Below are 18,549 nucleotides of genomic sequence, written 5' to 3'. Positions count from 1 at the left end.
ACCCTGTCTCTACTAAAAATACAAAAAATTCAGCCAGGCGTAGTGGCGCATGCCTGTAGTCCCAGCTACTCAAGAGACAGAGGCAAGAGAATCGCTCAAACCTGGTAGGCGGAGGTTGCAGTGAGCCGAGATCACACCACTGCACTCCAGCCTGGGTGACTGAGCCAAATTCGGTCTCAGAAAAGAAAAAAAAAATTTTTTCACAGTTGTGATGCTGCTTGGCCCCAAAATTGTTTAGAATCTGAAATTTACTGTCTAATCAGAAAGTGGGATGGCGTTGCATGTATCCAGGCTTTTGTGCTGCTGTTCTAAGCAGGGGGCCTGGTTAACATGTGACACCCTCCTTTGGTACTGTTTGGCCCCGGTGCTCCTTGAAGTCTAGGGAGGCTGGGAGGCTTTAGCCCTTCAATATCGAACTGCCATGGAGGCTGCTTTACCTGAAATTTTGGTTCAGAGCCGTCCTTGTATTTTCTATTAGGTTGAAGTAAAACCGCAAGCTTGTATTGCTATCTCGTGGCTAAGGTTCCAAGGTATTGGATCTTCGTTGATGTATGTGTATACATGTCTAGATGTGTTTATTTGTTTGTACACCTACTGTTATATGTTGTGTCTACCAAATTGGCTTATAAGTAAAAGTGCGCTCATAAATCAAGTAAATAAGTCTAAGCAATTTTCAAGTTCACGTGACTTAAAGTGTAACTTAACAAGCTAGCTTTAAAATTATTGGCAGAATAAAAATAGAAATGCCTTCAGAATTGTCCGCATACCTTCCACCGTTAACAGCGCCACTGCATTCCAGCCTGGATGACGGAGAGAGACTGTCTCAAGAAAAAAAGAAAAGACCCAAAGAGGCAATTGCTTGAACCTGGGAGGCAGAGGTTGCGGTGAGGCAGAGGTTGCGGTGAGTGAGATCGTGCCATTGCACTGCAGCCTGGGCAACAAGAGTGAAACTCCGTCTCAAAAAAAAAAAAAAGAAAGAAAGAAAGAAAGAAAAAAATACAAATTTATAAAAAACCAATTCACTATAACAACAACTTACACAGCATTTACATTATATTAGGTATAAGTGATCTAGAGATGATTTGAAGTATACAGGAGGGCCAGGTGCAGTGACTCATGCCTATAATCCCAGCACTTTGGGAGGCCAAGGCAGGTGGATTGCTTAAGGCCAGGAGTTCAAGACCAGCCTAGCCAACTGGTGAAACCCCGCCTCTACTAAAAATACAAAAATTAGCCAGGTGTGATAATGCACGCCTGCAATCCCAGCTACAGGCTGAGGCACAAGAATCACGGGAACCCAGGAAACAGAAGTTGCAGTGAGCCAAGATCACTCCACTGCAACCCAGCCTGGGTGACAGCAAGACCCTCTCTCAAAAAAAAATAAGATAAAAAAAATGTATACAGGAAGATGTGCATAACTTGTATGCAAATACTATGTCATTTTATATAAGAACATCCTCAGATTTTTGTATATGCAGGGGGTGGCAACTAGAACCAATACCCTGTGGATACCAAGGAACTACTGTATACCTTTTTACACAAAGAATTATAAATTATGGGGATGTGACAAAACAAAGGGGCTTGGTGTAATGGCAGTAAATTGTGGGACAGTGACTAGGAAATATAAAGGGGGAACCAGTGGAAGTTAAAGGTTATTTTAGTAAGACTATTTGCATAGATCTATTTCAGTGTCAGTTCCCTTTCTATGGTGATAAGAATGTTCTCTTCCTTGTACACAGAGGGCATGTTTCTCATGGAAAATTGTATGACCTGCTTTCAGGTAGAAAGGGAGAATCAGAGAGCTTTTCCTGCATCAGCTGTTTCTCCAGTGTCTTCAGCTCAAATGAATATGCCAAAACAACATATTTTGGGGTGGCATAATCTGAAGCCCTTTATTTATTTTTCAAAAAGCAGCAAGCAGCTGAACGTTCTCTGCTGCCTGAAGTTTAGCCGGTTGCCAACTGTATTAGTGCGCTGGCAACAGGGAAATTCATGTTGTCACAGGGTTGGACTAATCAATGGGTAAGTACTCAGGTATCATTTTGAGTGGCAGCATTTTAGTTCTGTAAAAGTGATATTAAAATATAATTTTCAAAAAGCTAGAATCATAACTCATGCAAATATAAAACGAACACGTCAAAGATTTTATACAACTTATTAATTAATGAAAGAATCTATAAGATATCAAAATCAGTTCAAAGTGCGTTTGAGAAGCATGGGTGTTTCTAGGCAATTTAACAAAGGAATGTTAGTGAGATTGCTGTATTGGATACAAAAGTGGTTAATGTCCTATAGGACCATGAAACATAACCTTCAGGATTATCCTTTCCACCACCAGACAGCAGCCAGTTGCAGCTATGAGTTAATCTCTGCCTCTTCTGACTTGTGAAGTGACTGAATTGATGGGAATCAATCAAAGACACAAGCCCAGTATTGAACTGAAAGAACACCTGGTAACCTCTTCCTTTTCCAACTTTCAGAGGATATCTGTGGCAACTGTAAATCTGACTAAGGAAACTGTTAGAGTTGCCAGAGTCCGAGAAAATGGATCACCCCATCAGTGCACTCTGCCTCAGTTCTTTTTCTTGACGACACTGGAGATAGCCAGTCATCACACCTTCAGCAAACCTGCTCCTCCCTTAGACTTCCCTGATTTGGAAAGTGGCAATCCCAATTGCCCAAGCAAAAAACGTTGAAGTCATTCTTGACTCTTCTCTTTAGATCACCCCCTACATCTGAGTCATCCATTTATTCAATATTCAACAAAAATACATTGAGGGCCTCCCCTAAGACAGTCACTTTTTTTTCTGTCATGGGTGGCCATCAGTAGACAAAACAGACAAAATGTTTACCCTCATGGAGTTCACATTGTAGTGGGGGAGAAAACAAACAAATCAGTAAAATCTAAAATCCATGGGAATTCGCATGATGAGAACTGCTATGGGAACATTTTTTTAATGGAAAAATGTCAGGAGAATTGGAAGATGGGGCTTAGAATTTTAACAGAGTGGTCAGGGAAGACTTCACAGAGAAAGTGGCATTTATGAAGAGATGTAAAGGGAACAAGAGAGGGGGCATGTGTGTATCTGCTCCAGGTGGAGGATTGTGTGCCCGGTGTGTTAGAACAGCAAGCAGAGTGTGCCTGGACCAGAGTGAGTGAGATGGTTTAGCTGTGTCCCCACCCAAATCTCAACTTGCATTGTATCTTCCAGAATTCCCACGTGTGGGCTGGGCGTGGTGGCTCAAACCTGTAATCCCAACACTTTGGGAGGCCAAAGTGGGTGGATCAACTGAGGTCAGGAGTTTGAGACCAGCCCAGCCAACATGGGGAAACCCCATCTCTACTAAAAATACCAAAAAAAAAAAAAAAAAAAAAAAATTAGCAGGGCGTGGTGACAGGTGCCTGTAATTCCAGCTACTCGGGAGGCTGAGGAAGGGGAATTGCTTGAACCCAGGAGGTGGAGGTTGCAGTGAACCAAGATTGCTCCAGCCTGGGCAACAAGAGCAAAACTCCGTTTCAAAAAAAAAAAAACAGAATTCCCACTTGTTGTGGGAGGGACACAAGGGGAAGTAATTGAATCACGGGGGCCCGTCTTTCCCATGATATTCTCGTGATAGTGAATAAGTCTCACAAGATCTGATGGGTTTATAAAGGGTTTCCGCTTTTGCTTCTTCCTCATTTTCTCTTCCACTGCCATATAAGGAGTGCCTTTTGCCTCTGGTCATGATTCTGTGGCCTCCCCAGCCATGTGAAACTGTAAGTCCAATTAAACTTCCTTTTCTTCCCAGTCTCAGGTATGTGTTTATCAGCAGCATGAAAACAGACTAATACAGTAAATTGATACCAATAGAATGGGGCATTGCTGAAAAAGATACCTGAAAATTTGGAAGTGACTTAGGAACTGGGTAACAAGCAGAGATTGGAACAGTTTGAAGGGCTCAGGAGAAGACAAGAAAATGTGGGAAAGTTTGGAACTTCCTAGAGACTTGAACGGCTTTGCCCAAAATGCTGATAGCGATATAGGCAATAAAATCCAGGCTGAGGCCGGATGCAGTGGCTCACGCCTGTAATCCCAGCACTTCGGGAGGCCCAGGTGGACAGATCACTGAGGTCGGGAGTTCAAGACCAGCCTGACCAACATGAAGAAACCCCGTCTCTACTAAAAATACAAAATTAGCTGGGCGTGGTGGCACATGCCTGTAATCCCAGCTACTTGGGAGGCTGAGGCAGGAGAATCACTTGAATCCAGGAGGCGGAGGTTGCGGTGAGCCAAGATCGTGCCATTTCACTCCAGCCTGGGCAACAAGAGTGAAACTCCATCTCAAAAAACAAAAAACAAAAAAAAAATCCATGCTGAAGTCGTCTCAGATGGAGATGAGGAACTTTTTGGGAACTGGAGCAAAGGTGATTCTTGTTATGTTTTAGCAAAGAGATGGGCAGCATTTTGCCCCTGCCCTAGAGATCTGTGGAATTTTGAACTTCAGAGAGATGATTTAGGGTATCTGACAGAAGAAATTTCTAAACAGCAAAGCATCCAAGAGGTGACTTGGGTGCACTTAAAGGCATTCAATTTTATAAGGGAAGCAGAGCATAAAAGTTTGGAAAATTTGCAGCCTGACTATGTGATAGAAAAGAAAAACCCAAGCCAGCTGCAGAAACTTGCATAAGTAGCAAGAAGCCTAATGTTAATCCCCAAGACCATGGGGAAAATGTCTCCAGGCCATGTCAGAGACCTTCACGGAAGTCCCTCCCATCACAGGTCCAGAGGCCCAGGAGGAAAAAGTGGTTTCGTGGGCCAGGTGCAGGGTCCCCATGCTGTGTGCAGTCTAGGGACTTGGTGCACTGTGTCCCAGCCACTCCAGCCATGGCTGAAAGGGGCCAACGTACAGCTCAGGCTGTGGCTTCAGAGGGTGGAACCCCCAAGCCTTGGCAGCTTCCATGTGGTGTTGAGCCTGCAGGTGCACAGAAGTCAAGAATTGAGGTTTGGGGGCCGGGCACAGTGGCTCACGCCTGTAATCCCAGTGCTTTGGGAGGCCGAGGCAGGCAGATCATGAGGTCAGGAGTTCGAGACCAGCCTGGCCAATATGGTGAAACCCTGTCTCTACTACAAATACAAAAATTAGCTGGGCGTGGTGGCACATGCCTGTAGTCCCAGCTACTCAGGAGGCTGAGACAGAAGAATCGCTTGAACCTGGGAGGCGGAGGTTGCAGTGAGCTGAGATCGCGCCACTGCACTCCAGCCTGGGTGATACAGCGACTCTCCATCTCGAAAAAAAAAAAAAAAGAATTGAGGTTTAGGAACCTCCGCCTAGATTTCAGAAGATGTATGGAAATGCCTGGATGCCCAGGCAAAAGTTTGCTGCAGGGGTGGGGCCCTCATGAAGAACCTCTGCTAGGGCAGTGCAGAAGGGAAATGTGGGGTTGGAGCCTCCACACAGTCCTTACTGGGACACCACCTAATGGAGCTATGAGAAGTGGGCCACCGTCCTCCAGACCCCAGAATGGTAGTTCCACTGACAGCTTGCACCAGGCACATGGAAAAGTTGCAGACACTCAATGCCAGCTCGTGAAAGCAGCCAGGAGGGAGGCTGTACCCTGCAAAGCCACAGGAGTAGAGCTGCCCAAGACCGTGAGAACCCACCTCTTGCATCAGCATGACCTGGATATGAGACCTGGAGTCAAAGGAGATCATTTGGGAGCTTTAAAATTTGACTGCTCTACTGGATTTCGGACTTGCATGGGCCCTGTAACTCCTTTGTTTTGGCCAATTTCTCCCATTTGGAATGGCTGTATTTACCCAATACCTGTATACCAGTTGTATCTAGAATGTAACTAGTTTGCTTTTGATTTTACAGGCTCATAGGCAGAAGGGACTTGCCTTGTCTTGGATGACACTTTGGACTGTGGACTTTGGGGTTAATGCTGAAATGAGGGCCGGGCGCGGTGGCTCATGCCTGTAATCCCAGCACTTTGGGAGGCCGAGGCGGGCGGATCACCTGAGGTCGGGAGTTCGAGACCAGCCTGACCAACGTGGAGAAACCCCGGCTCTACTAAAAATACAAAATTAGCCAGGCATGGTGGCACATGCCTGTAATCCCAGCTGCTAGGGAGGCTGAGGCAGGAGAATTGCTTGAACCTGGGAGGCGGAGGTTGCAGTGAGCCGAGATCGCGCCATTGCACTCCAGCTTGGGCAATAAGAGTGAAACTCCATCTCGAAAAAAAAAAGAAATGCTGAAATGAGTTAAGGCTTTGAGGGACTGTTGGGAAGGCATGATTGGTTTTGAAATGTGAGGACATGAGATTTGGAGGGGCCAGGGGCAGGATGATATGGGGTTTTGCTGTGTCCCCACCCAAATATCAACCTGAATTGTATCTCCCAGAATTCCCACGTGTTGTGGGAGGGACCCAGGGGGAGGTCATTGAATCATGGGGGCCCATCTTTCCCATGATATTCTGATGATGGTGAATAAGTCTCGTGAGATCTGATAGGTTTATCAAGGGGTTCTGCTTTTGCTTCTTCCTCATTTTTCTCTTCCACTGCCATGTAGGAAGTGCCTTTTGCCTCTCGTCATGATTCTGAGGCCTCCCCGGCCATGTGGAACTGTAAGTCCATTTAAACCTCTTTTTTCTTCCCAGTCTCAGGTATGTCTTTGTCGGCAGCATGAAAATGGGCGAATACAGTGAGCTAGGAATAGAGGAGCTGGAAGTAAGGTCAGAGTTATAACAAAGTGTGGGAGTGCCAGGGGAGAGGAGAACGGGGAGGAAGAGAGCAAATAACAATTATAAAAACTGACTTTAGCTTTGTTGGAGCTCAGAAAATGATACCCCAAAGTATGGCGCTTTGGCATGCTGAGTACTTTAGAGACTAAAAAGCCTCAGAAGCAAAGTCTCTGACCTTCTCCTGCCCTCCTGTCTCTCACCTCTCTTTCTCCCCTGAGGAGTCACAGAAACCATAATTCCTCTTCCCCAAGGTTGGTCAGAGAAACTAGAACTTCTCTCCCCACAAACAAGCCATAAAACCTAGAAAGGTCACTTTCTCTGTTGTCCATTGAAGACCCTCACTCCAGAAGGGTCCTGCCCCAAACCCAGGAGGAAAGAATGCTGCACAGAGAGGCCAAGAAGGATCTGAACAGAGAGACCTTGCTGGGTTTCCCCGCTTAGTCCATTACCATTAGATCATACCCTTTTGTCCAATCACATTCCTACACCGCTGCCCATTCTTCATCAGACCTAAGCACAGAGACACAGTGTTCTCTGGGTCTTTTGGTCTTCATTTCTGAAGACACTGGTGTCACCTAAAACTTTGATGAAGTACATTTGTTATGCTTTTCTCTTATTAACCTGTCTTTTATTATAGGAGTGCCAGCCACAACCCTTATGATGGGTGAGGAAATATATCACACTTTTTTACCCTTACAGCTTTTATTGCGACTGGGAACTGTTGGAAGGATTTGAATAGAGCAGTAATGTGGTTTGACTTACATTTTAACATCATCACTGTGGCTGCTGTGTTAAGAATAGGCCTGAGAGACAAGGATGGAAGCAAGTAAATGTTAGGAGGCTGTTGCAGTAGACCAGAGGAGTAACAATAGAAGTGGTGAGAAGTAGTTGGATTCGGAATATATTTTGAAGCGAGTCAACAGGATTTGGAGACACGGTGCATGTGGGATGTGAGAAAAAGAGAAAAAACAGGGTACCTCCAAAGTTTTTGGCCTAAGAATAAACTTTAGAGATTATCCTATAAGAGGATATCTAGAGCTATCATTTTTTTTTTTTTTTTGAGATGGAATTTCACTCTTGTCGCCCAGGCTGGAGTGCAATGGCGCAATCTCGGCTCACCACAACTCCCGCCTCCCAGGTTCAAGCGATTCTCCTGCCTCAGACTCCTGAGTAGCTGGGATTATGGGCATGCACCACCACGCCTGGCTAATTTTGTATTTTTAGGAGAGACAGGGTTTCACCATGTTGGCCAGGATGGTCTCAATCTCTTGACCTGGTCATCTGCCCACCTTGGTTTCCCAAAGTGCTGGGATTACAGGTGTGAGCCACCGCGCCCGGCGAGGCGGAGTCTTACTCTGTCACCCAGGCTGGAATGCCGTGGCATGATCTCGGCTCACTGCAACCTCTGCCTCCTGGGTTCAAGCAATTCCACTGCCTCCATCTCCTGAGTAGCTGGGATTACAGGCACGTGCTAGCCACCATGCCCGACTAATTTTGTATTTTTAGTAGAGACAGGGTTTCACCATGTTGGCCAGGCTGGTCTCAAACTCCTGACCTCAGTAGTAGAATAGGAGGCATATGGCCTCCCAAAGTGCTAGGATTACAGGCACGAGCCACTGCGCCTGGCCAGTGTTAGATGACTTATTGTGTAACCCTTAAAATTTTTATAGTTGTCTTTTTCTTTTAAAATTCTTATTTTTAAAAAATTCGTTTGGTTTTTTTTTTTTTTTGAGACAGGGTCTCGCCCTATTGTCCAGGGCGTGATCTCGGCTCACTGCAGCCTCTACCTCCCAAGTTCAAGCAATCCTCCCACCTCAGCATCCCTAGTAGTTGGGGTACAGGCATGCACCACCACACCTGGCTAATCTTTTTTTATTTTTTGTAGGGATAGGGTTTCACTATGTTGCCCAGGCTGGTCTTGAACTCCTGGGCTCAAGGGATCTTCCCAGGCTGGCCTCCCAAAGTGCTGGGATTACAGATGTGAGCCACCGCCTGGTCTCCATCTTGGTTCTAACCTCCAAGCTGCCCTTCTTAATCTCTGGGTGTAGGTTGAGCTAACTTTGGGAGGAACTTAGTTTATAGCTTAACTGTGTATGACTACTTGAGACTGAAAAACGACTTCTAAGCACTTAGTCTACTACAGGCAATGAGCAAGTTGTCAAACCTGCTCAGTAGTTCAGTTTCCTGCAGGAAAGTATATGCCACTCTGGCATAAGAATTATTTTGAGCTGAAAGCAATTCAGAAAAACCAAACACAGGACAAGCTCCCTACCCTCCCTATATGAAAAGAGGGCATATATTCTCCTTGTGCAGGCGACCGCCCCCTTTCCCATATCAGGAAGGGAAGAACAGCCCTTATTACCAGAGATGGAAATGGCAAGAGAGAGATGACGTAAGTGTCTACATGAATAAACCTTACTAACTAGCCCTAATCTCCCATTAGTATTTCCCATATATTTACCTCCCCACAATTTACTACCTCCTAGAACTAGAAAGTTAGAAACCCCCTTCCTTTGCCTTGTTACTTCTCTATAAATTTGTTGTCCTTCCTCTAAATGGCATAAAAACCCCCAAGCCTCGCTGCCTCTTCGGGGAGTTTCTCTTCTCTGTGGATCACCCCCACGTTTTGCCACATTAAACTTATAAAATAAAACCTGGGGCCGGGCATGGTGGCTCACATCTGTAATCCCAGCTCTTTGGGAGGCCGAGGCGGATGGATCACCTGAGGTCAGGAGTTAGGCCAACACAGCAAAACCCTAGGAGAGGAGAGGAAAAACCTTTTTCCTCCTCAGCAACCCTCTTTAGATATGACCAAGGAAGATCTTCCAGAGGGTGGAGTGATAGGCACAGAGAACACCAACTGGTGAACCCTTCCTGGGGGACAAACTGGGACCTGATTAGGAAATTCCTCATCCCTAGGGTAAGAAACCCTTTGCTCATTTGTCTAGAATTTCTACAGAATGCTTTGTATTTCCCTTTCCTAATGGGAGGGTTTTCCTGGCCCCATTCCACCATTGTACATTGGTGGGAGACGAGGCACAGATATCTTGTCTTTTTAGTTCGTACGTCTCCAGATCAAAACGGCCACGTCTGAACGTGGTGCAAGCACTGCCTCACATCATTCCCAAATATAGGGGCTATCACATATCACCTAGAGATTCTGAACTTTGAGCTTAATGCTGTAACTGGACAGGACTTGAGGGTTGTCTCTCTTTGTGGGGTATTTTGCATATGTAAAGGAGAGAGAAACTAATATGTATGGTGATAAATAGATAAAAGTGGGCTGGGCATGGTGGCTCACGCCTATAATCCCAGCACTTTGGGAGGCCAAGGTGGGTGGATCAATTGAGTTCAGGAGTTCAAGACCAGCCTGGTCAACGTGGTGAAACCTCGTCTCTACTAAAAATTCAAAAAAAAATTAGCTGGGCGTGGTGGCCTGCACCTGTAGTCCCAGCTACTCGGGAGGCTGAGGCACAAGATTCACTTGAACTCAGGAGGCAGAGGTTGCTGTGAGCCAAGATTGTGCCACTAGACTCCAGCCTGGATGACAGAACAAGAGTCTGTCTAAATATATAAATAAAACCTCTGAAAGATAATACAGAAAACTATCTTCATGACCTTGCAGTAAGGAAGGAGTTCTTAAGCAAGTCATAAAATATACTAACAATAAGGGAAAAGATTGTTGTTTTGAGCATTAAAGTTGAAAATATTTATTTATTAAGGCACCATTAAAAGGCAAGCTACAAATGTCAATCAAAACCACAATGAGATTCCTCCTTACACCAACGAGGATGTCTAGAATCAAAAAGAAAAACAATAACAAGTGTTGGTGAGGATGTGGATTAATCAGGACTGTTATATACTGCTGGTAGGAATTTAAAATGGAAGAATGGCTGTGGAAAACATTTTGAGTTTTGCTTTGTGGCAAGCCACAAAGTAGAAAAAAAAAAATTTGTGTAAGTCATGTAACCCAAAGAAGCTCATATCTAGAATATATAAGAACTCCTAGGCCAGGTGCAATGGCTCACGCCTGTAAACCCAGCATTTTGGGATGCCAAGGTGGGCAGATCACCTGAGGTTGGGAGTTTGGGACCAGCCTGGCCAACACAGGGAAACCCCATCTCTACTAAAAACACAAAAATTAGCCGGGTGTGGTGGCGCATGCCTGTAATACCAGCTACAGGCTGAGGCATGAGAATTGCTTGAACCCGGGAGGCAGAGGTTGCAGTGAGCTGAGATTGTACCACTGCACTCCAGCCTGGGTGACAGAGTCAGACTCTCTCTCAAAAAAAAAAAAAAAAAAAAAAAAAAAGAAAAGAAAGAAAGAAAAGAAAAAAAATCAGAGAACCCAAAAGAAAAATGGGCAAAGGACTCAAGCAAAATATGATATCCAAATAGTCAAAAATGTAGAAAAATCCCTCAACCTCATTAGTAATCAAATTAGGTAGAAGTGCAAATAAAAACATAATGAAATATAATACCATTACACATGTTCCAAATTAGCTGAAATTTTAAAATGTGATAGTGCCAAGAGTTAAAAGCATTTGACATTATCTAGTAAAATTTAAGATTCAACTATTTGTGACCCAGTCATCTCACTCTTATGAATGTGTGCTTGTGTCCACTTGGAGTCATGTACAAGGATGTTCCCAGCAGCAACTGTTTATCAGCAATAAAATGGCTACATTGTCATCTGTTCATACAATGCTAAAAATTCGACACTATAGTGAAAATAAATGAAGTATAGCTATAGGCAACAATATATATGAATCTCAAAAACCTAATTATTAAGTAATGGAAGCCCAGACAAAAGAATACATGCTGTCTGAAATACTTGTTCATTTATATCAAGTTCAAAGCCAGACAGAACTAAACTTCGATGTTTGGAAAGGCATACATGGGTATTATAACCAGAAAGTAAAGCAAAGAAGTTATTACTTTTAATGTCAATGTAGTAGTTTCCTCTGGGGGCTGGGAAGGGGGTTTGATTGGGAATTGGTACGTATGAGCTCTGGGTTGCTGGCAATCTATTTCTAGATCTAGGGAGTGGCTACACTCTTTATATTAACCTAAATTAATGTTTAAACACTCTTCCTTTAATAAATGGTTTTCTAAAGTAATCTAAAAAACCCAAAACAACAAAAAACTTCCCAGCAAGGAAAGCCAGAGTTAGAAATTGTGGCTGTGAGTGATAAATCTGCTGCTTAGCATAGACATTTGTGTAGGTCTCTTGTCTATTTGTTGACATTTTTGTGGTCACAATGGGAAAGAGAGAGAGCTAAGTAAATGTCATCCATTTCTATAGCATCTCTATGTTTTAAGATGAAGCTTTGTGGTTTGTAATGTATTTCCCCTAAAGGAAATAAAATTTTAAGAGTTAACATGAGAATTCAGAGAATCACCATTTGCAAAATTAATTTTTTAATATTAAAGTGTATATCAAAATAAAATACTTTAAATGTGCCCCTGATATATTTTTAAGTTGACATCTAAAATTTGACATCATAAGCTGGGCACAGTGGCTCACGCCTGTAATCCCAGCACTTTGGGAGGCCGAGGCAGGCGGATCAGGAGGTCAGGAGATCGAGACCATCCTGGCTAACATGGTGGAACCCTGTCTCTACTAAAAATACAAAAAAATTAGCTGGGCGTGGTGGTGTGCGCCTGTAATCCCAGCTACTCAGGAGGCTGAGGCAGGAGAATCTCCTGAACCCGGGAGGTGGAGGTTGCAGTGAGCTGATGAGCTGAGATCACACCATTGTACTCCAGCCTGGGCAACAAGAGTGAAACTCCATCTCAATAAATAAATAAATAAATAAAGTAATAATAATTTTAAAATAATTAAAATTTTTAGAAAGGAATTCTGCACTTTGGGTCTTATTTTCCTCATTTTTCAGTTGAAGAGACCTGATTGCATGATTTCTAAAGACATTTCCAATTCTAAGAAATTCTAATTCTATTTTCTGCCAATGATGGGCATTTCTTGAACTTTATCAAGAGTGCAGAAAATAGTCTTCACTCCATCTCCTGAGAACTAAAAAAGGTACAGGGTCTTGTCTCCCTAGGACCACTAACATGAGAGGCTCTCGCTGATGAGGGACTTTAGTCATAGGATGGATTCTTATGCATTTAGGATGGTGACTTCCTCACTTGGAAAGTCTATGTGTACATTCCTATTCAAAATATCTGGAAAGCTGGGCGCAGTGGCTCACGCTTGTAATCCCAGCACTTTGGGAGGCCGAGGCGGGCGGATCATGAGGTCAGGAGATCGAGACCACGGTGAAACCCCATCTCTACTAAAAATACAAAAAATTAGCCGGGCGTGGTGGCGGGTGACTGTAGTCCCAGCTACTTGGGAGGCTGAGGCAGGAGAATGGCGTGAACCCAGGAGGCGGAGCTTGCAGTGAGCCGATATTGCGCCCCTGCACCCCAGACTGGGGGACAGAGTGAGACTCCGTCTCAAAAAAAAAAAAAAAAAAAAAAATCTGGAAAGCAGACCACAAGATGTACAGAACAAATGGCGGAACACAGAAACCAGAAACACGGAGAAAAGTAATCTCGGTTCCAGAGAAGGCATAGGCTATCTCCCCTTACAAGAACAATCCTCCCACACCGCACCCCTCACCTGTCTCATTCCTGCTTATTCTTCATCTTGCAACTTGAGTGTCACTTCTGGGAATTCTTAATTCAGCCCAAAGATTAGGTTAGGTTCCCACAACCTGACTGTGCTTTGTCACATTCATCCCCCTAATGAAGGGCAGGCAGTGTTGCTCTCCCTCACTAAGCTGCAAGCCTGGGAAGGGCAGGGAGTGTGGTTGTCACATTCATCCTGTTCACTACTCAGTGGGTGCCCAACAGATTCGCACTTAATGAAGGCCCCTCTGCTGGCCTTCAGATTTCAGTGCTTATGGAATAATTATTTCTGTCCCCTGCCACTCAGCCCTGTACTCTGCTTTGTGATGGAAAAGAGGAAACCAGGAATAAGAAAATGTGCCCCACAGATTTTGCCAAAACCATAATCTGTTAGATAAATTGCTGAGAGGGAAAACACTAGAATACCTCAAACGGTAATTCCATTCAACACAAAATACGTAAATATACGTACTTTGGGAAAGTACATCACATATCACCACAGAGCAAACGCTGTTGGATCGCCATTATTTAAGGAATATCTCATACTCAGTTTCTGGATTTCTGCAACAACTGGTAAAGGGGAAAATATCACATTTCTTAAATTTATACATGTATAGGCTGGGCACGGTGGCTCACACCTGTAATCCCAGCACTTTGGGAGGCCGAGAGGGGAGGATCACTTGAGGTCAGGAGTGTGAGACCAGCCTGGCCAACATGGTGAAACCCTGTCTCTACTAAAAATACAAAAAAGTTGTCTGGGCTTGGTGGTGGGAGCCTATAATCCCAACTACTTGGGAGGCTGAGATAGAAGAATCACTTGAACCTGGGAGGCGGAGGTTGCACTGAGCCGAGATCGTGCCACTGCACTCCAGCCTGGGTGACAGAGCAAGACTCTGTCTCAAAAAAAAATAAAAAGATAAAAATAATAATAAAAGAAATTTATACATGTATAGTTGAATAAGCACAGAATATCTCTGAAAAGATATACCAGAAACTGAGAATTAGCCAAGCCCCACCCACACACTTTACTGCCTACATTAGCTTGACTTTGCTATTCTACTGTCTTTACCAACAAGACTTTAGTATTTCAGGAAGCCCTTGCCCCAAAAATAAAAGCTGTAATGGGAATGGGTAATGGGTACAAAAAAATAGAATGAATAAAATGTAGTATTTGATAGCACAACAGAGTGACTCTAATCAATAATAATTTAGTGTGCATTTTAAAATAACTAAAAGTACAATTGTATTATTATTTTTTCTTGAAACAGAGTCTCACTCTGTCACCCAGGCTGGAGTGCAGTGGCTCAGTCTTGGCTCACTGCAACCTCTGCCTCCCAGGTTCAAGCAATTCTCCTGCCTCAGCCTCCTGAGTAGCTGGAATTACAGGCGCCCGCCACCACGCCCGCCTACTTTTTGTATGTTCAGCAGAGATGGGGTTTTGCCATGTTGGCCAGGCTGGTCTCCAACTCCTGACCTCAAGTGATCTACCCACTTCAGCCTCCCAAAAGTCCTGGGATTACAGGCGTGAGCCACTGTACCTGGCCTAATTGTATTGTTTGTAACACAAAGGATAAATGCTTGAGGTCATAGATATCCCATTTACCCGGATGTGATTATTACACATCACACGCCTGTATCAAAACATCTCATGTATCCCATATACCTACTCTGCACTCACAAAATGAAATTTTTAAAAACTTTTTATTTCCATAGGTTATTGGGGCACAGGTGGTATTTGGTTACATGAGTAAGTTCTTTAGTGGTGATTTGTGAGATTTTGGTGCACCCATCACCCGAGCAGTATACACTGAACCCAATTTGTAGTTTTTTATTCCTCTCTCCCTTCCCACCCTTTCCGCCCAAGTCCCCAAAGTCCTTTGTATCATACTTATGCCTTTAATTTTTTTTAACTGAAAAAACTTTTTAAAATAAAACTTTTAAATAATGTTATTGTTCATTTCAGGAATATCCAGACAACGTATTTTAAATTGCTTAGCTTTCCAGTACAGTTATCAAATGATTATTCATGCTCCAAAACTTTTTTAAGCCCTCACCTTGCTAAATCATGATCCGTACCCAAACTTAATCAGAGCCCTTCACTGAAAGACCCACCTTAATCCAACCTAGAACCTCATAAATATCCTCCCTTTGCCCTCCCCTCCCAGATGCTGCTCAAGTTTCCGCAAGGCGGTGTGCTCCCTTGCTAAGACATGAATAAACTCCAGCTTTGCCTATCTGTGAGATTTCGGGTGGTGTATTTCAGGGCGCTGACATTTGGCAAAAGTAATAGTATAGGTTACATCCGAGGAGGGAACTGAGAGAAGAAATGTGGAAGGTGTCTCTTAGGACCTTTGAATTTTTACGTGGGCGTGTATTGTCTATTCGAAAATAAATGCTAAAACAAAACAAAAAGTTTAAAAGCAGGACACCATTGTGTAATCTCCTTTCTGACCAGAAGGTGGCGCCTCCACCTTTCCTGGGGCTGGGGAAGGGGAAAGCTGTAGAGAGGGGAGAAAGGTCCCAGTGAAACAACAGGGGCCTACATTGAGAGTGGAAATTTTACCTCCTGGCAAGAAAGGTCCAGAATCTCTCTTCACAATAATAGCTAATATTTATTGAATATATATTAAATGCCAATTAAGATTTTTAAAACAGGCCGGGCACAGAGTCTCAAGCCTGTAATCCGAGGACTTTGGAAGGCTGCAGCCAGTGGACAGCTTAAGTCTAGGAGTTTGAGAAAAGCCTGGGCAACACGGTGAAACCCTGTCCCTATTTTTTAAAAATAAAAAATGAAAGATTTTAAAACAGCATTCTTCTTTTTTTCTTTTCTTTTTTTTTTTTTTTTGAGACGGAGTCTTGCTTTTTTACCTAGGCTGGAGTGCAGTGGCGTGATCTCAGCTCACTGCAACCCCCGCCTCCCAGGTTCAAGCAAATCTCCTGCCTCCCAAGTAGCTGAGATTACAGGTGTGCACCACCACTCCAGGCTAATTTTTATATTTTTAGTAGAGATGGGGTTTCATCATGTTGGCCAGACTGGTCTCGAACTCCTGAGCTCAAAGTGATCCACCTGCATCAGCCTCCCAAAGTGCTGGGATTACAGGCGTGAGCCACTGTGCCCAGGTTTAATACAGCATTCCTAAGGTAAAATTGGTATACAATAACAGCACATATTTAGTGTACAATCTGATGAATATTAACATGTATTCAACCATGAAACTATCACCATAATCAAGATAATGGAACATATCACCCCCAAAGCTTTCTTGTGCTAATTTGCAATCCCTCCCTTCCTCCCTATCAGTTTTAAGTACTTTACGTAGATAATTTTATCTTCACTACCACTCTTTGAGGTATTATCACTCCCATTTTACCAAGGAGGAAACTGAGGTATAGTTAGGCTAAATAAATTGCCCAAAGTCATTCAGCTAGCAAGATGTAGAGCTGTTATTTGAACACAGGCTGATTGACACTAGATACACACTACATCAGCAATTTTCAAACTGGAGTACATGTATCTCTGGGGTGTACAAAGCCTTTCCAACATGGACAGGGCTGAAATTTCCAGATTTTGACTTCCAGATGCAGTCTCCATCTTGACACTTCACCAAGAATGTTCTCTACGTGTCAAAGCATCTTCTTTCCCCTCTCCCTGCTCACTTTACAAAAGGTTACTGCAACTCTCATTCCTTCCATGGTATGCTGTTCTAGGGCACACACATACACACACACACACACATACCCCCTCTTGACCACCAAAGATAATTTGAAATATTGTCACTTTGTGTAGATAAAGTACTTTCATGAAAAATCTTTTTGGAAGTCAAGATTTATAATTCTTTCAACCAAATTAAAGGAGCATCTAATCAAGTTGAGTGCTGATAAATCAGTTTTTGATGAAAGATTATTATAAGGTTTTGGTATATAACTTGAAAGAGTTCACAAAATTCACTGGCATTGCTAAAGCTAAATGCCTTCTACTCTTATTTATATGAGTGAGATTTCTCAAATAATATACCTGAAGAAATTAAAAATTGGAATACAATTAATCTTGATTCTTGTCTCATTCTAGAAATAAGCAAATTATGGGCCAGGCATGGTGGCCCACACCTGTAATCCCGGCACTTTGGTGGGCAGATCACTTGAGGTCAGGAGTTCGAGACCAGCCTGGCCAACATGGTGAAACCCCATCTCTATTAAAAATACAAAAATTAGCCAGGCGTGGTGGCAGGCGCCTGTAGTCCCAGCTACTCAGGAGGCAGAGGCAGGAGAATCACTTGAACCCAGGAGGTGGAGGTGGCAGTGAGCTGAGATTGTGCCACTGCACTCCAGCCTGGGGGACAGAGTGAGACTCCATGTCAAAAAAAGAAAAAAAGAAATAAGCAATAATCATCTGTGAATGTATGCACTAATATATTATTGGATAATTGAAAAAAATCCCAACCACATTCATGTCATTAGAAAATGTGCTTCTAGTTTTTACTTTTTATTATGTGTAATATTTTTTGGCCAGGTGCAGTGGCTCATGCCTGTAATCCCAGCATTTTGGAAGGCAAGGCGGGAGGATCACTTGAGGTCAGGAGTTTGAGACCAGCCTGGCCAATGTAGTGAAACCCCCTCTCTGCTAAAAATACAAAAATTAACTGGGTGTGGTGGCACGCACCTGTAATCCCAACTACTAGAGAGGCTGAGGCAGGATAATTGCTTGAACCCCGGAGGCGGAGATTGCAGTGAGCCGAGATTACACCACTGCACTCCAACCTGGGCAACAGAGCAAGACTCCGTCTCAAAACAAAAGAAGTGATATTTTTTAACTTCTTATTTTAAAAATGTGTGCTGTTTTGATCCAATATGTCTAATTGTGATGTTAACTCAATCCACAAGAAGCCTTGAATATATTTGAGCCTTATAAAATAAAAATGTTTTGATATCTGAAGTTATAGACATATTTTTATGGCAGAAACTCTGATAAGATGATCAATAAAACTTTTAAGCATAAAAACATATTAAATAAAATTCTCTGATAAAAGTGGATGAAGGCTAGGCATGGTGGCTCACACCAGTAATTCCAGCACTTTGGGAGGCTGACATGGGATGATTGCTTGAGCCCAGGAGTTTGAGACCAGCCTGGGCAACATGGTGAAACCTTGTCTCTACAAAAAATGCAAAAATTAGCCTGGTGTGGTGGCAAACACCTG

General features: G+C 43.4%; 1 annotated feature.

Annotated features, from left to right (window-relative positions):
- Positions 926-1,582: an enhancer, noted in NCBI's record as "H3K27ac hESC enhancer chr12:9057572-9058228 (GRCh37/hg19 assembly coordinates)". NCBI's record gives its function as "activates a minimal SCP1, AML or CMV promoter by ChIP-STARR-seq in primed H9 embryonic stem cells {active_cell/tissue: H9 hESC(primed)}" and the evidence as "EXISTENCE:reporter gene assay evidence [ECO:0000049][PMID:30033119]".

Source organism: Homo sapiens, chromosome 12 (assembly GCF_000001405.40).
Source record: "Homo sapiens chromosome 12, GRCh38.p14 Primary Assembly".
NCBI lineage: Eukaryota > Metazoa > Chordata > Mammalia > Primates > Hominidae > Homo > Homo sapiens.
This window is presented reverse-complemented; position numbering and strand designations above follow the sequence as displayed.